Raw genomic sequence first — 25,113 nt, forward strand, 5'->3', positions numbered from 1 at the left:
GTGCCACTGCACACCAGCCTGGGCACCAAAGCGAGACTCTGTTAAAAAAAAAAAAAAAAGAAAAAAAGACAATCAGCTGCTTTCATTCTCCAAAATAAGTGTAGAAAGATAATAAGAAACGTTTCACTGAAACTATAACTTTGTCTTTGACCACGGAACAGAGGTGGGTGGAAGGCAATTGGGGAAAGAAGCCAATCAGCAACCTCCAGAAATTTCCTCTTTTTTTCAGTCACAAGGACAGTTTATTGGGGTAGCCGCTGACCTCATGCAAGCTGCTCCAAGTCAATGAAAGGGGGCAGCACTAGCAGTGTGCCAAGAGGCAAAAGACAGAAAAATAAAACTAGAGGATCCTTGGATACCAAAGCTGGGAAAAAGCACAAATTCAGATGAGAGGTTATAATGTAGACTGAGATAAGACAACAGAATTCCAAGGTTAGAGAGCAGTGAATCCAAGATGTTTGCAATGTGATGTCAACTTAAGCCTTTTTTGAAGTTTTCATTATGAACATTCCCAAACATGCTCACGAGTACAGAGTACAACATTACCCATCATCAAGCTTCAGCAACTATCAACTTTTCTCCATACTTGCTTCTTTTTTTACCCTCTTTTAATTTTGCTAAAATACATTGCAGATACTCCTAAACACTTCAGTATGCACTTTATTTTTTAACATAATCACAATGCCAATTTCAACATCTACTAAATTTAACAATTATTTATTAACAATACCATCTTGCAAGGTTGCCGTCTCTTACCACTGCTATTCAACATAGTATTGGAAGTTCTGGCCAGGGAAATCAGCAAGAAAAAGAAATAAAGGGCATCCAAATAGGAAGAGAGGAAGTCAGATTATTCCTGTTTGCAGATGACGTAGTTCTAGATCTAGAAAACCTCATAGTCTTTTCTAAATCTAGAAAGCCCCAAAAGCTCCTTCATCTAATCAAAAACCCCAAAAGCTCCTTCAGCTAATCAAAAACCCCAAAAGCTCCTTCAGCTAATCAACAACTTCAGCAAAGTTTCAGGATACAAAATCAATGTACAAAAATCACTAGCATTCTCATACACCAATAACAATCAAGCCAAGAGCTGAATAAGAAATACAATCCCACTTAAATACCTAGGCATACAGCTAACCAGGGAGGTGAAAGATTTCTGCAATGAGAATTACAAGACACTGCTCAAAGAAATCAGAGATCACACGAACAAATGGAAAACATCCCATGCTCATGGATAGGAAGAATCAATATCATTAAAATGGCCATACTACCAAAAGCAATTTATAGATTCAATGCTATTCCTATCAAACTACCAATGACATTCTTTGCAGAATTAGAACAAACTATTTTAAAACGTATATGGAAACAAAAAAGAGCCTGAATACCCAAGGCAATCCTAAGCAAAAAGAACAAACAAAGCTGAAGGCATCACGTTACCCAACTTAAAACTATACTACAAAGCTACAGTAACCAAAACAGCATGATACTGGTACAAAAACCAACACATAGACAAATGGAACAGAATAGAGAGCCCAGAAATAAGGCCACACAACTACAACCATCTGTTCTTTGACAAAGCTAACAAAAACAAGCAATGGAGAAAGGACTCCCTATTCAATAAATGGTGCTGAGAGAACTGCCTAGCCATATGCAGAAAAGTGAAACTGGGCATCTTTCTTACACTGTATACAAAAATAAACTAAAGATGAATTAAGGACTTAACTGTAAAAGTCAAAACTATAAAAAGTCTGGAAGACAATGTAGACAAATACCATTGTGGACATAGGAACAGGCAAAGATTTCATGACAAAGACTCCAAGAGCAATTGCAACAAAAGCAAAAGTTGACAAATGAGATCTAATTAAACTTTAAAAGCTTCTACACAGCAAAAGAAACTATCAACAGAGTAAACAGACAGCCTACAGAAAGGGAGAAAATATTTGCAAACTATGCATCTGACAAAGGTCTAATATCCAGCATCTATAAGGAACTTAAACAAATTTACAAGAAAAAAACAAACAACCACATTAAAAAGTGGGCAAAGGACATGAATAGACACTTTTCTAAACAAGACATATGTGCAGCCAATAAGTATATATAAAAAAGCTCAAACGGGCATGGTGGCTCACACCTGTAATCCCAGCACACTGGGAGGCCGAGGCAGGCATATCACTGGAGGTTGGGAGTTCACGACCAACCTGACCAACATAGAGAAACCCCATCTCTACTAAAAATACAAAATTAGCCAGGCGTGGTGGCATATTTCTGTAATCCCAGCTACTCGGGAGGCTGAGGCAGGAGAATCACTTGAACCCAGGAGATGGAGGTTGTGGTGAGCCAAGACTGCACCATTGCACTCCAGCCTGGGCAACAAGAGCGAAACTCCATCTCAAAAAAAAGCTTAACATCACTGATCATTAGAGAAATGCAAACCAAAGCCACAATTAGTACCATCTCACACCAGTGAGAATGGCTCTTTTTAAAAAGTCAAAAAGTAACAGATACTACTGAGGTTTCAGAGAAAAGGGAGCACTTTTACACTGTGCTAGTGGGAGTGATGGGAGTGTAAATTAGTTCAACCATTGTGGAAAGAAGTATGGTGATTCCTCAAAGAGTTAAAAACAGAACTACCATTTGATCCAGCAATCCCATTACTGGGTATATACCCAGAGGAATATAAATCATTCTATTATAAAGACATATGCATGCATATGTTCATTGCAGCACTATTCACAATAGTGAAGACATGGAATAAATCTAAATGCTCATCAATGACAGATTGAAGAAAGAAAGCATGGTAGATATACACCGTGGAATACTATGCAGTCATAAAAGAATAAGATGAGATCATGTCTTTTGCAGGAACATGAATGGAGCTGGAGGTCATTATCCTTAGCAAACTAACACAGAAACTGAAAACCAAATACTGCGTGTTCTCATTTACAAGTGTGAGCTAAATGATGAGAACACATGAACACAAAGAAGGGAACAACAGGCACTGGGACCTCCTTGAGGGTGGGAGAAGGGAGAGGAGCAGAAAAAAATAATTATTGGGTACTATGTTTAGTACCTGAATGACAGAATAATTTGTAAAACTAACCCTCATGCCATGAGTTTACCCACATAACAAACTTGTGCATGTATCCCCAAACCCAAAATAAAAGTTAAAAAAAAATCTTGCAACATCACTTAAAAAAGTTAAAAAAAGTTAAAAACAGGACTCTAGTGTATATATAAGAAGTTAATATGTGACAAAGATGACAGCAGAAAGTCTGGTTTATTCAATGCTGGGTTAATTAATTTGTTGGAAAAGGTAAATTTCAAGATCAATTTCAGATGAACTAACATTTTGGTAAAATATCAGGATAAATACTCTCTAATTCATCTTTTGGCAAAATTGCAACTGTGTCTTACTTTAATAGGAGTAAATGTAGATATTCTCATGATTATATTGAGCCAGTATCACTTTTTAAATATATCGGGAAACACTGTTTTTAATACAGTCTAATTAAGTTTAAAAAGGCTGTAAAGCATTTTATAGCATTTTTTCTAATCACAGCACCAAAGATAGGAAAATAATATATTTGGCTACCTAAAAAGCACCCTACCCCCAAACAAAACAAAAGCAATATCAAAACAAAATAAGTTATATGCAAAATTTTAATTAAGATATAAAATTCAGAAGAAAATATTCAACCTGTGTGAAAGACAAAGGGTTAAGATCTTTTGCATAGCAATGTTTATAAATCCATAAAAAACTTGGCCATCTAAAAGCAAATGAGAGATAATTCTCTGCTTTAATTCACAGACATTCCATGTTGCAATCTGTCCATTTTCTGCCTTCTTTCTGCCTTCGGCTTTCCTGTGGCCTATCATCTTAGCCCAAACTTAACGTTATTAAGTGGCTGTTTTATAGGTTGTAGGATGGGTTTGTGAAGTTTTCTTTTTTCTTCAGAGAGGGATTTCTCTTCATGTTATTCTTTCACTTCCTAAAAATTAATTCCAATGGTTTAGTGAATTTCGAGGGTGGGGAGTGAAATGAAAATACCGTTACTCAACCAGCTTTACATCTACATCTTCAGGTGATGTTTTACTGCATTTTTTAACTTAATAGGACTATATTAAAAACAATGTTTCCCCGTATATTTAAAAAGCAATACTGGCTCAATATAAGAATGAGATATATCTACATTTACTCCTATTAAAATAAGACATGGTTGCAACTTTGCCATATGAGTAAAGATATGCCGGGAAGGAAGAAAAGGCTGTGCAGTTTGAGTTTCGCTGACTTCTGAAGCAAGAAACATGTTGGCCCGAGCAGGAATTGGCATAACCTCCACAAACTGTGCTTTTACATGAAATCACTTCATTCTTCACGTCTCTTCTTCAGTGAAGTTTAGTAACTGGCCTAGTCAAAAGATATCCTTTCTTTGAAAAAAGTTTGGATGGGAAAAGGAAAAAGCAGTAACAGTTGTCACAGAGGGTGAATAGCATCTTTGACTTCCCAGATTTAGCTGAATGTCATTAGGTTGGATTTGGATAGTTGAATACTGCTGATATTTGTGCCCTTCAGCAAATTCTATATTTGATTCCTTATTCCCAATGGCTTTTGCAAAACGAGGAGTATTGTATCAGGAACAGAGCTGTGGTTAGCCTCCTAGTCATTACGGTGGAATAAATGGTAAGACAGGCAACACAAGCAATGAAGAGGCCAGTGGGAGGAGAGGAAGGATGGGGCACCATTACTTTTTTCACAATTTATCCATTGCTTCCCAGTGTTTGCATTTGCTGAACGTTTATTTACCTATTTTTTAAAAAATCTCTGTCTCGCTCTGTCACCCAGGCTGAAGTGCAGTAGCACAGTCACGGCTCACTGCAACCTCAACCTCCAGGGCTCAATTGATTCTTCCACCTCAGCCGCCCAAGTAGCTGAGACAACAGGCACACACCACCACTCCTGGCTAATTTTTGTATTTTTTGTTGAGACGGCATCTTGCCACGTTGCCCAGGCTGGTCTTGAACTCCTGGACTCAAGCTATCCGCCTGCCTCGGCCTCCTAAAGTGCTGGGATTACAGGCATGAGCCATCACACCTGGCCTTAAAATTTCATAAGGCAAGCTTGTTTTCAGACATTAGATATAATAATGGGAGTGAACCTTTGGAGTTTTGTAACTCTTGTTTTTCTAAGAGCTCTCTCTCTCTCTCTCTCTCTCTCTCTATATATATATATATATATATATATATATAGCCTTTGAGCTCCTAGAAAAACAAGAATTATATATATATTTTTATATAATTGTATATACACATAATATACGTTATATATATAATTATATGTGGAGAGAGAGAGAGAGTGAAAGAGAGAGAGAGAGAAACATGATAAAATCTGGCTCAGTCTGCCAGTAGAATATTTATTTGCAACTTAGTACATTCACAAAATAATGTTCATTGCTATTTATAATTATGGAGGAGAGACTAAGACCATCCCTGAGAAGGTTAAAGGGTTGTAGTCATTTTCAGATCAATACAAGAAGACTCACTTTACACCTGGAGTTTGCCAGTGATGGCATAGAACTTGCTCTGCTTCCCCCCGCATAATTTTTCAGGTACCAAAGTACCCAAGCTAGAAACCTGGGCATCACCCTCTACTTCTCCCACTCTCTATCCATACCACACCCACATTCTCATAAAATCTTTAACTTTTACTGCTGTCTCTCCTTCTTCCTTGATCCCTCTTTGTCAGGCCTTGCACTAGCTTCCTCGGGGTCTCCCAGATTCCATTCTTATTCCAGTTCATTTTAAATGCAGATTTGATCCTGTCAATCCCTTAAAACCCTTAAATGACTCCCTTTCAACTTCAGGATAAAATCCAAACTCCTCAGCATGGGGTAGTTTCCAGTTTGGGCTGTGCTTTATCTGTCAATATCCCTGCATCCATGGCCCATGCTCCAGCTACACTGAGACACCTGTCACATGATTCACATAACTGCTAAATATTTGATATTTTTGCCCACTTCTGAATGATCCCCACTCACTCCCTCACTATTCCCCTTATCTGCCAAACTCCCTTCTTCCTTTCAAGAGCCAGCACAATGTCATTTTCCCTTGGAAGCCTTATTTCATTCCGTAGACTTCCAGGCCAGGCCACTCCTCATGACCACTCCCATAGTTGCCACTCCACAGTTCTCTTATAGCATTAATCACATTTTATTAAAATGGCCTATTTATGTGTCTGGTTCCTCCCCTCTGTCATGTTGAATTAAGCTCTCCATTGTTAGTGGGTTCCAAACAGATGATCAATGACACATTTCAAGGAGATGAAATAGGAGAATTAAGAGTCAGACAAAAAGGTAGAAAGGATCTCTTAAGTCTCTTCGACTTTTTGGTGTCTGAATTTCTCTGACTCCAAGATCCTCAAAGATGCTGCCATTCCTTGAAAATAATCAGACAAATAATGTCATCACAGTTTTATCGTAGAAAATACTTTTTTTTTTATTGCCTTTTGGTATGGTTTGGCTATGTCCCCACCCAAATCTCATCTTGAATTGTAGCTCCCATAATCCCCACATGTTGTGGGAGGGACTCAGTGGGAGGTAATTGCATCATGGGGGACAGGTTTTTCCCATGCTGTTCTTGGGATAGTGAATCAGTTTCATGAGAGCTGATGGTTTTATAAATGGGAGTTCCCCTGCACAAGCTCTCTTACCTACCACCACATAAGATGTGCCTTTGCTACTCCTTCACTTTCTACTATGATTGTGAGGTCTCCTCAGCCATGTGGAACTGTAAGTCCATTAAACTTCTGTTTCTTTATAAATTACTCAGTCTCGGGGATGTCTTTATTAGCGGTGTGAGAAAGGACTAATACACCTTTGAAACTGATTATCCAGCAATAGAATTGCTATTTTTAGTAGAGATGGGGTCTTACCATGTTGGCCAGACTGGTCTGGAACTCCTGGCCTCAAGTGATCTGCCCACCTAGGCCTTCCAAAGTTCTAGGATTACAGGCATAAGCCACTGCACCGGGCCTAGGACAATGCTCTTTGATGATCCTTTGAACTCAACACCTCAACTTCCATGGCTAAGGCCACACTCTGCTCAGAGTCAGATACAGATAGAGCTGTTTTTGTTTTTATTTTTCCATTGATTCCGGTGGTATTGATGTCATCAGTACTGGAATTAAGGTCTCTAAATGGTTTTCCTAAGGCAGGTAATTCTGAGATTCACGAGCAACACCTTCCTTAAAGACAATGACGATGGTGGATAGATATGAGAAAGAAAGGAGAGAGAGAGAAAAACAGAAGCTGCCCAGGCTTCCAACCCCTGAGAGATAAAGATGTTGGGATCTCAGCCAACACCTTTAAGTAATAAGGAGTGATGGGAGAGAAAGGCTGACAGTTTGTGACATGTGACATGTGACTTTCTAATGATCCAGAGACAGGATTTGTTCTAAACAGAAACAGCTTGTAAGGTGACATCAGGAACAGTTTCCAATCCAACAAGTAGCTCATATGCCTCTCATGAAGGTTAAAACCCAGAGGGAAGTAATTAATTAGAGGAACAGAGCCCTATCTTGGAATCTAAATTGACAATACTTTGTTAAACTCCCCTTGAGTCATTGACTACACCCATTCTGACATGGAAAGTTGCCTCAGTGGAAGAAAAAGAAGTCTTCAGAGTAATGTGTAAAACATGCTTGTAGGAGCAAAAAAAATAGTATGAAAGAGTGTCCCCCTACCAAAACTGTTAATATTTTAGGAGGTTAGAGTCAGAGAAGGTGAGAAAATTAAACATTTTATTATACTTCCTGACTTTGTAACAAGTATAGATTATGTTTATAATTATTAAAAACCAGTTAAGGCTGGGCATGATGGCTCACGCCTATAATCCCAGCACTTTGGGAGGCCAAAGCAGGAGGACCACTCAAGACCAGGAGTTGAAGGGCAGCCTGGGCAACATAATGAGACTCTGTCTCTATAAAAATTTAAAAATTAGCCAGGCATGGTAGCCTCTACCTATAGTCCCAGCTACTTGGGAGGCTGAGGTGGGAGGATCACTTTGAGGTTGTAGTGAGCTATCATGGTGCCACTGCACTCCAGCCTGGACAGCAGTGAGACCCTGTCTGTAAAAAACAAACAAAAGCAAAAACAAAAAACACCAAGTTAAGTAAAATAGGTATAATAAACTATACACACACACATACACACACAAACACATATATATATAATGATAATAAATAAAGATTAGGCAAATTTGTGTCTAGGACCAAATAGCAAAGGGAGGAAGACAGGAAGCTTAAATTTATTGACTGTACTTTGAGTCAATCTGTGACATATGTGATTTCATTTAATCCTCACAGACTCACAATTTGTTGAAATAAATACTAATAGTTCCATTTTACAGATGAGGAAACTGAAGTTCAGGGAGACTAAGTGATTTGCCTGAGGTCACAGAGATAGATAATAAGCAGAAGAGCCAGGAATTTAACCCAAGTCTATCTTCAAAAGCCACAGCTTTCCACAAACCCAATTTTATGAAATAATTTCTCTGAAAAGTATAGATTTTTTTTTACACATCTTACACAAATATAAATAAGTAAAGAATATTCATTTTTTGTTCAGTAAATTCCTTGTATATCTGAAGAAGGAATTCACTGAAAGTAACAATTCTATGGTTAAAATAACATTACTTTTTTAAGGACAGATTTTTCTTACTACTTTGTCATAAACCTTCCTCTATATATCTATTAAAGAAAGGACATTTACTGATTTTTATTGTTGCTATGGAGTTAGTATTTTAGAATAATATTATGGTTGTGAAAATGAAGAAGACCATAGAAAAGAAAACACATGCACAAAAAAATGTGTTAGGAAAGAAAAATAATCTCGCGCTATTAGGATATGTGATAGGCAAAGCAGATATTTGGTTAAAAGATCATAGTTCATGCCCCCGTTTTTTTCAGCTATAAAATCACATGGAAAAAAACCCAACTATTTTAAACACATAATGAATTCTAGACATGTTGAAGTTATTTTCATGTCGACGTGGGTGGAGTCTGCCACTTAGGAAACTTGCCCAGCTATATTCCGTTTTCCCATATCTTCATGGACTCTCAGGCAGTTCCTCAAGTGTTTGTTCACTTGTGGTCATAAATACGGTCATGTATTTAATTGTTACACCATTTCAGGTATTAAAAGGTCAAATCTAGTCTAACGTGACTTTGATCTCAAGGCTGGGAGAGGCGACACACGCCTGTAATCTCAGCACTTTGGGAGACCGAGACCAGGTTGCTTGAGGCCAGGAGTTTGAGACCAGCCTGGGCAACAAAGCGAGACCTTGTCTCTACAAAAAAGAAAAAAAAGAATTAGCTAGATGTGGTGGTCCATTCCTGTAGTTCCAGCCACTTGGGTGGCTGAGGCAAGAGGATCACTTGAGCCCAGGACTTCAAGGTTGCAGCGACCTATGATCGAGCCTCTGCACTCCAGCCTGGGTAACAGAGCAAAAGCCTGTCTCCAAGAACAACCACCACCACCACCACGGCAACAAAAACTTAGATCTCAGATGCAATCTGCAACTTCTTTTCCCTCTTTACCCCATGCCTCTCTTGTGGCTCAAGCATCTACAGTGAGGGAGGGGGCAAATGTGGCTTCTCATTCTTGGCCACCTCTCCACTTTGTCTTCTGGATATCCTGGGGTCCAAGTCGGGGGAAGGGGTTTAAAGATGAAGAAGGGAAGATTTGCATGTCACTGGTGCCAAGTAATCCTCTCTTGGCTACCCCTGGCTGTCTGTGTTGTTCACCCCACAGCTGTTACTCCTGAAGTATTTTGCCCCAACAGGCTTCCTTCTTGTATGGTGACTCAAGCCCAGAAACTTCCCACAGGACCCACTTGGCCACAGGAAACTCAATCATCCCTGCCAGACCAAAACCTGGTAGCAGAGATGGCTGTCTACTGCCACCATCTCTCCTCACTCTACCATTGTGCATGGCCACAGCTGGTCTTCAGGCCCAGTTCTAGGAGAGAAGAGGCAACAGTCATGAGTTTCACATACAATCTCTAAGAATCCTTCCAAGACCCTTTCAGCCCTTCTCCCTCCTTCAACTCCACACCCTGTAAGCATCCAGTGGGGAAGTGAGAGGCCTTTCTCTCACTTTTCACAGGCACCCTCAACTTGTATGTGTATTTCTCATGAATCCTCATCACTTGATTTGGGGAAGGACAACCCTAAAAAGGTAAATGAAGAAGAGATACCACTACTAGTCTAAAACCTTTCAGTGTAACTCTTCAGTCACGCATTCAATCTCTGGACTTGTTTTATATTCACTGCTGGGCATTGATGTGGGTTGATGGTTGCTGAACAGGTTCTGCTTTCTTTGAGTATGTTCAGCAGAATCTTTTAATTTCTCTCTTCACAATGAGGAGATGTTACCGGAAAGGAGTCCAGATCCAGACCCCAAGAGAGGGTTCTTGGATTTCGTGCAAGAAAGAATTAGAGGTGAATCCATAAAGTGAGAGCAAGTTTATTAAGAAAGTAAAGCCATAAAATAATGGCTACTCCATAGGCAGAGCCAGCCCAGAGGGCTGATGGTTGGCTATTTTTATGGTTATTTCTTGATTATATGATAAACAAGGGGTGGATTATTCATGAGTTTTCTGGGAAAGGGGTGGGCAATTCCCAGAACTGAGGGTTCCTCCTCTTTTTGACCATATAGGGTAACTTACAGACCTTGCCATGGCATTTGTAAACTGTCGTGGCACTGTTGGGAGTGTCTTTTAGCATGCTAATGCATTATAATTAGCATATAATGAGCAGTGAGGATGAACAGAGGTCACTTTTGTCCCCATCTTGGTTTTGGTGGGTTTTGGCTAGCTTCTTTATCACAACCTGTTTTATCACCCAGGTCTTATCACCTGTATCTTGTGCTGATCTCTTATCTCATCCTGTGACTCAGAATGCCTAACTTCCTGGGAAAGCAGCCCAGTAGATCTCAGTCTCATTTTACCCTATTTAAGACGGAGTCACTTTGGTTCAAATGCCTCTGACAGATATACTTCTTACCCATTGTTCTCAGCTTGGGGCTTTAACCAACATTCTGGGACATTGGGAAAAAATCTCACTCAATATTTTGTTACTTAAGAAAAATCATTTTCGTTAGCTTGAAATTTATTCAAGAAGATGAGAGAACAGAATTTCAAAACCCCCTAAAGATGTGAGTGAAGGCATAAAATCATAGACATTTTACAGCTTAAAGGATCTCAGAAATCACCATCTTCTCTTGTCTTTTCTTAAACTTTTATTTTACGTTTAGGGGTACATGTGAAAATTTGTTACATAGGTAAACACGTGTCATGGGGGTTTGTTGTACATATTATTTCATCACCCAGGTATTAAGCTCAGTACCCAATAGTTATCTTTTCTGCTCCTTTCCCTTTTCCCACCACCCTCCTACCTTTTCATTATCTATGAAAAAATCATGTTCCAAAAAGAATAATTGACTTGCCCAAGGCCATGGCTATAGGGCTAGTTATGAGCAGTGCTGGGTCTGCCTATAGATTCCTCACTTCATGCATCCACAGGGTAGAAGAAAGTACTTTTTTCCTTCATTGTGATGCTTCCCTGTTATTATCATCCTTATTTTTATTATTGACACATACTGAAAAAAATTTATGACTGACAGTGTTTTGAGATATTAAAATTATAGTTAAACACATTCATCTGGAACACCATCAAAAGCTGAAACAGGAATTTTTACATATTCTTTATTTTGCTTTTATGAGGAAGAGGTAAATGACATGTAAACAAGTTGCTATTAGAAACTTACCCAAAAAAGAAGCTTTTAAGATATGTCATTTCTTGATGAATCTGGTCAATACAGTTTCTCCCTATTTGAAAACTGAAATAATAAACCTCTACATTTCCATAATTCTTTGCCACTTAGAGCTCTTCTTTTCCTTTCTTTTTTTTTTTTCTGAGATAGGGTCTCACTCTGTCATCTAGGCTGGAGTGCAGTGGCATTATCACAGTTCACTACAGTCTTGAACTCCTGGGTTCAAGCAATCCTTCCACCTCAGCCTCTCAAGTAGCTGGGACTACAGGTGCATGCCACCATGCCCAGCTGAGTTTTAAATTTTTTGTAGATGTGGGGTCTCGCCATGTTGCCCAGGCAGAACTTTTCAAAACATCACCTGAAACTCTGCATTGAGAAATTAGGTTATAATGATTACCCTGAATCACTGCAAATGACTTTTGTTTTTGTTTTTGCTTTAATAGGAGAAAAGGCATACAAACTTATTTAACATGCACACAAAGGAACCTTCAGAATAAAGACCCAAGCCAACAATAAGGCACAGAATCTTATATTCCATCCTGAGGTTATAGAAAAAAATGTGAGCTCAGAGTGTAGCCCAAAACTGGTTATGTTGGTAAATCAGGTTTAGTGGCAAGACAGATTATGAGAGGGAGAAAGGAAGACGCCGATCTAGCAAAGGTAGCTTTGTTATATGGATGAAGCCTCATAGAGAGCAGTGCTCCGAGAGAGTAGACAGTAAATATCTTTTCAGACCTTTAAAGGTGTCAGTCTCAGTTAATCTCTCTTAGATCCAGGAATTGCCTAGAAAGGGAAGGCCTCACTGCATTAATGAGGATTCTCTACAGCTACAAATTTCTCTCACCTCAGTCTGCTGGCCATGCAGCAGCCATTTCAAAATGACATTTGAATAGTCCAAAGAAGACGGAATTTTGTTCTGTATAATTTAGTGTTAAGTGTTTAGAAATAGTCCTCTCACTTGTGATATTGGCAGATGGAAATTGTCAGCTAACTAGTATATTCCAATAACTGAAGTACTTCACTTTCCCAGCCATTTTGGATGTTGGATTGCCATTCCAATGTGCTTCCAATGGGCAGTTGCTGTTGGCTAAAACAAAGTTCGTAAATCCTTTTGTATTAGTCAGAGTTCTCCAGAAAAAGAAACCCAATAGGAGATATAGATACAGATAGATATATAAATATATAGATATAGATAAAAATATTGGTGATAAAATACGGGCTCACATGTTTATGGAGGCTGAGAAGTCCCACAATCTGTCATTGGCAAGGTTCAGGCCCAGGAAAGCTGGTGATGTAGTTTGAAGACCTGAAAGCCAGAGAGCCAGTGGCTGTAGATTCCAGTTCAGGTCTAGCAGCCTGAGAACCAGGAGTCCTAAAGGCAGGAGAAGATGGATGTCCCAGCTCAAGCAATCAGGCAGACAGCAAGTTCATCCTTCCTTCATCCCTTTGTTCTGTTCAGACTCTCAACAGATTGAATGATGCTTTTCCACACGGGGGAGAGACAACTGTTTTACTCAGTCCACCAATTCAAATTCTAATCTCTTCTGGAAGCATCCTCACACACATACCCAGAAGTCATGTTTAAATAGCTATCTGGGCATCCTGTGATCCAGTCAAGTTGATACATAAAACTAACTGTCACAATTTTTTTTCTATAGTATGTATCAAAAAACCTTAAATTATATTCTAGAAATTTATCCTAGAAAAATACTAAACAAGTATGAAAAGCTGCTTTACAGTGATATTCAATGTGGCATTTCTTATAATTTTCAACATTAAGGAATAACCTCCCTGTCTAATAAAAGGGGAATGGACCCAAAGATATTATATAGTGACAAAATGGAATTCTATACAGTCAATAAAATGGTGATATAGAAGACAATTTAGTGACATCCGAATGTGTTAATGCCATTTTCTTTAGTGAAAGAGTAAGGTGTCAGAGTGTGTAGTAAAATCACGCTTTTGTTTTAAAAAGTTATGTATCTTTAAGTTTGTGTGTACAAGAAAGAATATTGCTGAGATATGGATATTTTTGGCTTGCTGCCCCTAAGAATCTATTTGTATGAGTTGTTAAGACTGATATTCATGAGATCTTTATGTTTTTTGGCTCAAGAAAGAGAAAGACATATTGGGGATGAAGATAGCCAAAGTGATGGAGGGAAAAGGCGGTGGGAATGATTTCAATGGCATGGACTCTGTTTCAAAACCCAGCCAGAGTCAGGTTTTGAGTCTCAAGTGAGAGAGAAGTTAGGGAGAAAAGCTGAAGAACTATGTTGGTAAAAGTCTGCTAGCCTCTAACTATGCCACTTCAGAATCTAAGGAACAAGAAGGGCCTTAGATTTAAGAGAGGGTCACTGGTCAGCCTCTCTCCACCCTCCCACTCATTTCTGGCTGGCACCAGCACAGGGTACCTGTGCCCACCAAAAGAGCCATCTCATGGAGAATAGCAGCAGCATGGATGGCAAGCAGGCTGGAGCAGGAAAGAGTTGTGTTCCCAAGCATATGTGAGACTCCAGGATCCTGCAAGACATGCCCCGAGGGACAGCTGAAATCCACAGGGAGCAAGTGGGGACTGGGATCTGTCACAATGTGTATAGTAATCTAATGTAGGTTTTTCAACCTTGGCACTTGTTGACATTTTTGAGTGGCCAATTCTTTATCATTGAGGGCTATCCCGTGCATTGTAGGAAGATTAGTAGCATTCCTGGCTTCTACCCACTAGATGACAGTAGTCCCAACTCATTTAGTTGTGACAACCGAAAAATGTCTCCAGATATTGTCAAATGTTCCCTGGGGTCAAAATCTCCCTAGGCAGAGAAGCACTGATATAATGGAATCACAACTACAATGACAGGTTAGTGAAAATTGGTGCATGATAACGGCTAACATTTAATGAGTCTTTGTAGTGTTCTGAGCTTTATGGTTTTAACTCATTTAATGCTTACAATAACTTCATGAGGTGGGTTCTATACTTATCTTCATTTTAAAGATGCGGAAATGAAAGCACAGAGAAGTTAAGTAACTCACCCAAGCTTACACAGCTGATAGGTGGCAGAGCAAGAATATGACCCCATGCAATCTGGCTATGGAGACTTTGCACTTAAGAAATGCAATAATATATTAACAATTATGGACCTTCTATGTGATTGCCATTGTTCTTTGTAGGTTTTTATTTTTGTATTTTTCTAATTTTTTTCCAATAAAAGAAGTAACCTTAATAATAAAAAAAACATTATTTAGCAAGTAATTTACTAAGAGCCAGTGTTGCAGGACACCTGTATGAGCCCGCTTGCATGGTGAGTATATCCCAGCAAGGAGTCCCATTGGGTGTCCTTGTGCACAATCCCAAGAAAAGACCAAGATGGCCAACATAATTTTACACTTGGACTGAAAAACAACAGTATAAAAGACAGACTTGGCAGGGTGTGTATTTTCTATGGTTTGCTGAGTTCAATCTTCATATCGTCTCTCCTAACTATGCAGTGAATGAATTCGTAGTCGTCCATGCTCCATGGCTCACCACCCGCAGGCACTCACCTGAAAGCAGGCAGAGGACAGCCTCTCACCTTCAGCAGCAATGGGCTCCTCTCTGCGTGGTTGCTGATGCTGTTCCTGGGTGGAGGGGCTGGTAGTGTGTGGGTGAATAGGCATGGAGGCTGAGGCTCTGGGAAACAAAGGGCTGAGCCCATAGGCTTGGACTGAATCTTGCCCATTTGTCAAGCGCTGGCTATGGGAGGCACTCGGGGTGATGATTCCTGCCAAGGCTGGGGCTGGCAGCTGAGCGCTTCGCAGAGCCTGCCTGTCAGTCACTGCTTACGCTCATCCCTTAATGGCTCTTCCCTTGTCATTTGCCTGGTGTCGCTTTTATCTTAAGTGAATTTAACAATGGTGAAAGGTGCCAGTCTGAGATCCCCAGAGAGGAGCTTTGCCGGAAGAGCAGTTAGAATGAAAGTTGCCTCCATCAAATTGCCTCCGCTGCCCCATCTCAGGAATAAGTAACCCCACGGCTGCAGGGGTACCCCGGAGGCCTGGCCAAGCCAGCCGAGCTCTTCCCACAGCTCAGCAGGCAGCCTTAAGGGAAGCCAGCTGCATGCAGGTCTGCAAAACTGGAGACATCTTGCAATTGCTTTTTTCTTAATTTCCACACCCAGAAGTATTTCAGGAGGAATTTAATCTCTATGTTTCTGGTTCATTTACAATAAACTTGTCACAGGATTCTTTCCAAAGAGCCATTTGGTGCCCAAGAGGACTTGTGAGCTTTTTAAACATATATCCATCTTAAAAAAAAAATCTTGAACTAACCAGGTTCAAAGCAATGTCTGAGCCACACATGAATAAGAGATGGTTTTAAATTTCAAATCCCGTTAAATTCCTAAGAGTGGTTTTGTGAGGCAGCCCATCTCACAAATCAATCAATGGCAGGTGAAAGCAAGTATCAGTTTACTGTCCCTGGGTTGGGAGTTGAAGTTAGGGTGTGAGATGGGTGAGCAGGAGAAGTAAGAATAGAGGAAGCAAGAAAATAGACTAGCCGAAGGCATAGTAACTCCAGTTACTACTTCCTACCTCTTACTATATACTAGGTACTATGCTAAGTTCTTACAACACTGTAGCAATTTTCAGATTACCAAGAAACTTTCCCTGTTTTATACATGAATAAACTTAAGTTTAGAAGTTAAGTAAGTTACTCAGTTCACGCAGCTAGTAACTGATGTATCCAGACTGAATTCAGCTCCTTCTGAATGCAAATCAGCAACATTGAAATGAGTGGGGAAAATGGAGGAAAGAAGAAGAAGCTCAGCCAGTTCTGGGTTCCACCCTTTGCCACCGCCCATCAGGGTTCTATAATGCCAGAGCCTCTTTTTCTGTTTCCATCCTCATCACCTCAGAAAGCATGGTGGGATGGAGGGCGAGTCTGGCTGATTCCAAGACATCTCATTGTGCAGACTACAGTTGCTCCATTTGAAGAGCTTGCTTTCATTGCAATTGCTGGACATCACCTCCTATTCACCTAGCAAATTAAGCTTGAGGTACAGCTAGGAAGAACTGAGCTCTGGCTTCTTGACCTTTGAGTGAAACCTGACTTTACTTCTGAAGGAAACTGGAGGCAAATGATTTCCTAGGCACTGAGGTCAGTTATTTCTGTGGACCTTGTATTTATTCATATTTATTTATTTTTTGTTTATTTATTTTTTGAGACAGAGTCTCACTCTGTCACCCAGGCTGGAGTTCAGCGGTGTGATCTCCACTCACTGCAGCCTCCACCTCCCGAGTTCGAGCAATTCTCTTGCCTCAGCCTTTGGAGGAGTAGCTGGGATTAGAAGTGTGAGCCACCATGCCCAGCTAATTTTTTTTTTTAAATATTTTTAGTAAAGACGAGGTTTCACCATGTTGGCCAGGCTGGTCTCGAACTCCTGACCTCAAGTGATCTGCCCACCTCAGCCTCCCAAAATGTTGGCATTACAGGCATGAGCCACCATGCCCAGCCAATTTTTAAGACAAAATTTATTTGTATGTTCTGAAGATTTAAAAAAGAAACAGGGGTGTGTGTGTGTGTCTGTGTGTGTGTGTGTAAGATATCTGTGAGAACAGAGGACAGTTTTCTGCTCTACCAAGACCTGAGTTTGCTTATCACAGTTGCACAACAGTTTATTTGAGGCCTTACTTCCCTTGCTATGTAGTTCATGAAGTGCTGAGGACCTCTGATGGTAGGACTGTTGTATTTGACATTATGTATGCCACACGGAGAAACAAACTATCAGATGCATTTATTTTGATTGTCTTTTTATCTGGCACCACTGCCTTCTGTGCAGTTTATAAACATGAGCATAGATCTCTCCAAGCATGAAGGCCACTTGCAGGCTGCCCAGTGCTTATTTCTCATCTATTTAAATATGGATGGACACTGTGCTCATCCTTTTCTTTAATTAAGGGCTTTCCATTGAATCAGTAAGTGTAAAACTCCCAAAAGAGAGGATGAAAAGCGCTCATATGAAAGCAACCCACTGAATAGGATATGAGAGGACCTTGGCCACAAGGCCTGCCACTGTAGAAGGAAGTAGCTCATAGGTCCAGGCCTGAGCAAAGAGAAGCTTGAGGTGATGAGAAAATGTGAAATGAAGCCCAAGACAGGGGCTTTCCCTGGGTCTCCAAGGTTTATAAATACTTCTGGATGCAAAGGCATGGAAGATGACATACCTCTATCCACGCTCAGGAGATGATGTTGGTAACAGATGTAAAAAGGATTGGAGAACTATAAGGAGAGGGGAAAATGCCAATTTCAAGAGGCAGCAGCTCCTTGAAACACCTGGGATAGCCGAGTCCAGACTTGATTGGTCTCCCTCTACTGTCAGCTCCTCTGGCAACCATGGTCGACCCCATAAAAGGCAGTACTTCACCACAATCAGGTTAGTATTGACTTTTCCGGCTTCATGTAACCCTGTGTTTCCACATATCATTCCCTTCTCGAAACCTCCAAAGGTTTCCCCTTACCTGCACAATGAGCTCCAAACTCATTTCCTCAGCCTCAAAACTCTTTGCCACTTTTACTTTCAATATTTCCTCAACAATGTGCACAATGAATGCTTTACCCTATTAAACCTGATCCATTTGTCACTTAGGAGACCCTCTGTCCCAGTTTTCCCAGAACACGGGATTGTTGATGCTAGAACCAGGAAGTCCAAGGCAAACTGGGATGAGGAGGTTGCCTATCTAAGCCACCCCTGGATGAACACATTTGAATTGCTCTGCTTCCATACCTCTCATGCTTCTCCCCAGCTTAGAATGCCACCTGGTATTTTCTCTACCTGTTAGAATTTATTCATCTGCTAAGGTCCACATCAAATTCTATCTCCGGGGGGAAGCTTTTGCAGATCCCCCACCGTGACAATCCATTTCTCTTTCCTTGGAGATCCCAGTAGCTCTGGTTGTCTGGGGGACTGTAAGAGGAAGGAATTGAGTAGAGTGGTTGGGAACATGAATTTAGGAGGTAGACAGATGTGAGTCTGAAATGTGATTGTGATCATTGCTGATTGAATGCAAGTCATTTAGCCTCTCTGTGCCTGGACTTTCTCGTGGTTAATTGTGGTGGGACATGTAACTATAATACCTAGCTTTTTGGGAGGTTGTGAAGATGAAATGAAATCATATATATAGCACCTGCCTCATGTGGCATATTGATATATACAATGTTACTGTTCTTTGGTTCCTTTATTCAGTGAATATTTGTTGAGTGCCTTATATATGCTGGGCCCTGTTCCATGAAACTGAATCAAACAGATTAAAAAAAAATGCCCTCAAGGAGCTTAGATACTAGTGGGGAGTGGGGGAGACATAAATGTAAACTATAAACTGTGGCAGATGGTGATAAATGCTAGAAAAATAAAGCAGCAAAAGGGAGATAGTGAAGGTTTTATATAAGGTAGAGAGAGAGAGAGCCTTAAGCAAAGACCTAACAAACGTGAGGGGTTGAGCCATGTGGATATCTTGAGCAAATAGGCTTCCAGGTAGAAGGGACAACAAGCACAAGGTACTGAGAAAGACTGTGCTGGAGATTTTGGGATAATATGACTGGAGCAGAAGGAAAAAGAAATGTGGTAGGGAATGAAATCAGAGGTAGTAGGAAGGGCAGTCCATGGAGGACTGTGGAGGTAACCAAAGTACTGTGGCTTATTCCTTGCACAAGAAAGCATGACCCTGAAAGTGTTTTGGACAGAGAAATCCCATTTTCCGACTCCTCATTTTAAGAGTCGTTCTTACACTGGGTTGAGGATAGACTATAATTGCGGGCAAAGGCAGAAACAGGAAGACCTGTCAGGAGACTGTTGTTGTAAAACTGGGTGAGAGAGGAAGATGACTTAGGCAAGGGTGCAAGAAGTGAAGGTTATGAGAGTGGTTAGATTTTGGCTCTTTTGGGGGGTAAATCTTGGCTTTTTTTGGAGGTAGATTCAACAGGACTTACTAACAGAGAGTAGCCTGACTCCACTCAGGAATGACTCAAAGGCTTCTCTAAAGAAGGATAGCATCACTTGTCAACTGAGATGAAGACTGGGGATGTGCAGGCCGGAAAAGAGTTTAGCTTTGGAGATGTTACGTGCGTGATTTCTTTTAAACATCCATATGGAGTTGTTGAACCATGTTAACCAGGCAAATCTTCCTTTAAAAAAATAAATCTCAGGCTTATTTAGTAGTTCAAGAGGAGGGCAGAGATTAGTGGGGGATAACTAAAGCCCTTCCCTGAGACCTCCCCTAGGTACTACTACCACTACTCAACCAGAAGCTCAGATTCACCATCTTATCCTTTTTTTCTGAATCTCCCTCAGTTCTTAGAACAGGACTGGGCCCAATAAATTTCTGATTTGTATTGTCTAGTGACAACAGAACTGTAGAGCAGGAACTTTGGGTTTCAGGAGCTCTTTTAAAACAGAACCTTTGTGCTTCTAAGGCCTTTTCATAAAAGAACCCTGCCCTCCACGTGGAAGCTTTCTGAAGGCACCCAGCATATTCCATAGTCCTGCGTGAACCTTAGTGAACACTCAGGTAGGCAATGCTTGGTGGCAGACAACTTCACTCTTCCAGGTTCCCCAGAAACAAGAGAATAAAAGGCAGAAGATGAATGGCCTTTGCCTCTGAAACAGCTGCTACTGCTCCCACAACTGCATGGCCAGTTGATTTAGAGATTTGTGAAGAGAGCCTCTGAGCCCCTCACTTCTGCCAAGTGAATTGCCAGGAGCATCCCATGGCAGGAGTTATCGTTCTACTCCAGGTGCTGCAGGACAAATGCCCTGGAGTTGGAAGATGAAATACCCTTGCTCCTAGAGGAAGCTGCAGGCACGACCTGGGCACACATGTGAAGATGAAGGTTATCCTGCCCTGAATAGCCAGCAACTTGGAGCTAAGTCAATAACACTCATCAAAGACTAATTCCAGAGGGAGGCACCTAGGACTTGCTGTTGCTGAAAGACTGATAATATTGCTAACTCTCCCTCATTTATGTCAATGAGGTGGAGGTGGGCACCATGGAATAGTTGCTCCAAACAATACATAATCCAGAAACTAAAGCCATTTCCCTTAATTGTGAATGATATACTGATCTTTTTGCCTTGTTCAGGCCACACTTTGCAGATATTCCAGGTACCAACTGATATGCCATAGTCCCATTCCCCTCCCACTCCTCCACTTCCAAAATAATTGTTCTAGAAAAATATTTCTAGGATCAAACAAATTTGGCAAATTCTGGGTTAACAAACTGCAATAGGTTTCTTTGTGCAGGATTTCTCAAAGCTTTAACGCGCAAATACACACTGAAATTTTCCAAAGGGAAAGAACATGTGCAGTAATATTTGAGCAGAAGGACCTGTTTACCAGAAGTTCCTATTAAGGCAAGTGTTCCCCTAATCACACTTTGGGAAATGCTTCCTTAGGCTAACATGAAAATGGTTTTCATTCTCTGAGACTAAATGATGCTTGGGGAAAGGGCCCAGGAGCAGGCTGAGGACTGGATTTTTTCAAGTGCCAGGAGATTTAAAAAGAAAGGAAAAGGCAGAGAGAACTAATCAGTCCAGGAGCATGAGGGGGCCGTCGATTCTCCTGCCTGGCCTTTACTGACTCACTAGCTTCTGGCTGAGGGATCTGGCTCTATGAGAAGGGCTTTGCCTTCAGAAGTTACAAACAGGCATTTGCTTTAAGACCTGGCTGGCATTATGCAGTGTTAAAGGAAGGAAAAACTGAATGAACACCAAAAAATTTCACCCAAGGCTACTTTTAAGGGGGAGGGCCTATCAAAATTTACATACTCAAAAGGCTTCTCTTAACACAACCCTCAGACCACAATCCTTGCTGCAAAATTTTGGCCAATATTTTCATGTAATGAGAAAATCAGAGAAGTTAATAGGAAGTATAGGGGGTTTCAATCTAACCTACTCTATCCGTCATTTCCTCTGCAATATATGGAAAAGCCATCCTGTTGCTATTTGAACACCTCCACTGGTTGGGGGTCTCACCACCTCCTAAAGCAGCTTGGTCCATTGTCAGACAGCTCTAAGTGCATGGATCTAGTACAGTAAACTTTACTCCTGACTAACATGATCCCAAATTTCCAGCATTCTCAGTGCTTGCTGCTTTGAGCATGGTATGTGCTAGCCTCTTCCAGTGAGTAATGCAGAGCCTAAAATAAAGCAACAGTAAGTCAGATAGACTGAGAAAATGAACAGAAAGAAACATACAAGTAAAACCGCCAAAAAATAGCAGTCTTCACATTTTGTACTATTTGGGGAAAAGCAAACCTATGAAGGTGCCTTTTCGGTTAAAGAGGAAGGTTGTTTTGCAGGGAAGAACAAGAGGATGTATGTGAAAGTGTTTTGAAGAACTCACTGGGTCATACACCTAAGTGTAAGGTATTTATTAGAGGATTAACATTGGGAGCTATCACAAGGCAGGGAGAATAGGAGTGGGAGAAAGGGTCTGATTGCTAAGAGGCTAGTTGGAATGAGAGGAAAGCAGTGGAAGGCAGGAGCTTGAAAGATCCAGAGGAATCACGTGCAGAGGAAGCGGGTCAGTAGATGGTTACGTGTCCTCCTGAAAAATCAGTTTCTACTTATGAAAATACTACCTTGGTCACCACACACCCTCAGCTATGTTGCCTAACTCAGAAATCTGGGCGTCACCCTTAACCTCTTCTTTTTCTTCATCCCACTATTCCTGCCAACCTGTTGTCAAGTGTGGAAGCCCTCTCTCTTAAACACAAGGAAGCTGTATGATGTGTTCACAGACAGTAAGTGCGGTGCCCATTATCTTTTAATTAAGATGAACTAAGAGCCTTTTAACATGCAAAGCAATGACAGGCAAAAAACTTCTCTGTGAAGATCCCACTGTATCACTGGGCACCATTTACCCAATCAAGGGGAGATGTACTTCTGGACAAATGAGGCATCAAGACTCAGTTTCTGGATCAATGACAGCACCAGAATGAACTAAAAGGCAGGAATGCCCTTTGTTGGAAGGATTCACTGCCTCCCTGCATCTCTGAATAGACAGCTGCCTTCCTCAAGACGTGTTCTTTACCCTTGGACTCAATTGCTCCTGGACACCATCATGAAGCCACCGGGCATGGCAAACATCACCTGATCCAGCCTCAGACTCAGCTGAGGACGTCCTGAATCTTCACTCACACTGGGGTCCTTTAGGGTGCTTAAAACAAGAAGATAAGGGGATGTCCTGAAAGAAGAGCTGAGTGACAGAGTGATGTGCATATGAAGCGGCAGGGGTCTGGTGAGTGTGTGTATGTATGCACACATGTGTGTATATGTGTATGCATGTGCACAGGGGAAAGACAGGTTAAGCTGCGGTTTCACATCTTCTCCAGCTGCCTCCATCTGGAAAACTGGAAGATTCTCCGACTCTAATTCACAGAATTCTCTTGGGGGTGGATTGATTATAGTACTTAGAGATACTAATGATTTACAGGGACTGGGAGGTCTCCCGATTTGCCTTCAGGCCTTCAATGACCTTTGACAGCTTTCTGTCTCCATCCATGGTCTGTCAGCCCAGAACCCATCACACCCAGCCAAGCCCAGTGTCATTTCCTGGCTGGAGCAGCTTCCTTAACTTACAGGACTCTGGACCTTGCCTGCATCTACCAGTCTCCCTTAATTGACCTCTCTGAATTCAGTATCTGCCTACCTTATTGCATATGTCCATTCTAGGGATGTCAATATCACATGTCTACTTTCACGTGTAAACCAACATGTGGAACCTGTGGTTAATTGTAAAATGCCACTCAAGGGCATTAAAGATATATACTTTATGAAACGCTGTCTAGGAGAAAAAAGTGATAACTCAGCAAGCAGTTTGCTTCATACTAGAATCCTTCCAAGTGCCTTTCCCTTTGCAGTTCAAATCTTGTACCTTAAATCACCAGTGTACTTCCTCCTGGGTCCTCAAACTCTGGATGCCAGCCCTTCCTAGCCAGTCCTGTTCTGAGGTGCTGTATATGCCCACGGAACGATGAATACTTAACTTTAAATTTGGAAGTCACCTATTTTTGGCCACCTAAAAGCTCCCATGCAGACATTTACCTGGAATTGTGCAGTTTTCATCTGCCTTTACACGCTTAAGTGGATCTTAATTTTAGGTGTGAGTGAGGCACTAAATGACTTCATTTGAGACTAGGGGGTCTGGTTTTTAGGAGGGGCTATAAGACTGATGATTCATGATGCATTCAACACTCATGGGGTGGGGAGAATGTGGTGTGAAGTAGGCATGAGCTGTGGAATCTGGCCTGGGTCACAATCTGGATTCTGACACAGGGAGCCTTAATCTCTCTGAACTTTATGCATGAAGTTGATCATTGTGAAAATTGAGTGAAATAATGCGTATAAACCGCCCGGTACATTATATACATACAACAGGTGCTCAATAATGGCAACTTTTGATTATGATTTATGAGCACCCCTCAGATGTAAGGTGTTAGGTGTTGCAACACCTATAAAGATTTATTCCACATTTGGGTGCAACATCCAGGCTCTCTGTCTTTTTTTTTTAAAGAGTGCAAATCCACGTTTATTTATTGACTTTCCCTTAGTTTAAATCCTTGAGGGGTACAACATGACTCGGATTCTGTGTCCAATAGCCTTAGCAGGAAGATTGCTTTGGAATTTGGCACGTTCTCGGAGTTACCTTTCCCCAGATTACTCTGGTTTTGTTTAGTTTGCCGCCAGGAGTCACTATGTTGCTCTTTGCTTTGTATACGTAAGTGCATCACTAGTTCAAAGAGAATTCTGTTTAATCTCTGGCATAACCACCTTCGACTTTAAGAAGAGCTGTGTGCTCCCTTTGGTTCCGGAGACCCCTCTCATAGCCAGTAAAAATGGCCTTGGACCACAGCCTTCCAGACATATTTCCTTTTAGAAGTCCTGTTCCCTGCAGGCCTCCACAGGAGCCAAGATGGCGGGAAGAGAAAAACAACATCCAGGCTCTTACTTACCATGTCAATGCTTCTCAGCCCTGGCTAATTCCAGAATCACCTGGAGGCTTTTTTTCTAATTACAGACTTCTGATACTACAGTTGTCCCTCGGTATCCTGGGGGAATTGGTTCCAGGACTCCCTCAGATACCAAAATCCTCAGATGTTCGAGGTCCTCATATAAGTTGGCTTAGTATTTGCATATAACCTATACACATTCTCCTATATACTTTAAATCATCTCCAGACGACTTATAATACCTAATACTATGTAAATGCTATAAACAGTTGTTATACTATACTTTTTAAATTTTCTGTTATTTTTTGTTTT

The 25,113-nt window shown here is 41.0% G+C and overlaps 1 long non-coding RNA gene and 1 pseudogene across 1 annotated transcript, besides 1 other annotated feature; both read right to left on the bottom strand.

Moving 5' to 3' along the window:
• Window positions 1-12,242: 12,242 nt before the first annotated feature.
• On the bottom strand, window positions 12,243-15,462 carry LOC107985451 (uncharacterized). Its single transcript, XR_001737807.2, has 3 exons — window positions 15,363-15,462; window positions 13,050-13,197; window positions 12,243-12,912 (listed from the first exon to the last, which is right to left on the bottom strand). It is a non-coding gene; the product is annotated as an uncharacterized LOC107985451 (long non-coding RNA).
• Window positions 17,319-17,613: a silencer, noted in NCBI's record as "tiled region #7579; HepG2 Repressive non-DNase unmatched - State 13:Ctcf". NCBI's record gives its function as "represses a minimal TATA promoter and a strong SV40 promoter by Sharpr-MPRA in HepG2 cells {active_cell/tissue: HepG2}" and the evidence as "EXISTENCE:reporter gene assay evidence [ECO:0000049][PMID:27701403]".
• On the bottom strand, window positions 24,363-24,779 carry RPL35AP7 (ribosomal protein L35a pseudogene 7; annotated as a pseudogene).

The sequence above is a fragment of the Homo sapiens genome, chromosome 1 (assembly GCF_000001405.40).
Source record: "Homo sapiens chromosome 1, GRCh38.p14 Primary Assembly".
NCBI lineage: Eukaryota > Metazoa > Chordata > Mammalia > Primates > Hominidae > Homo > Homo sapiens.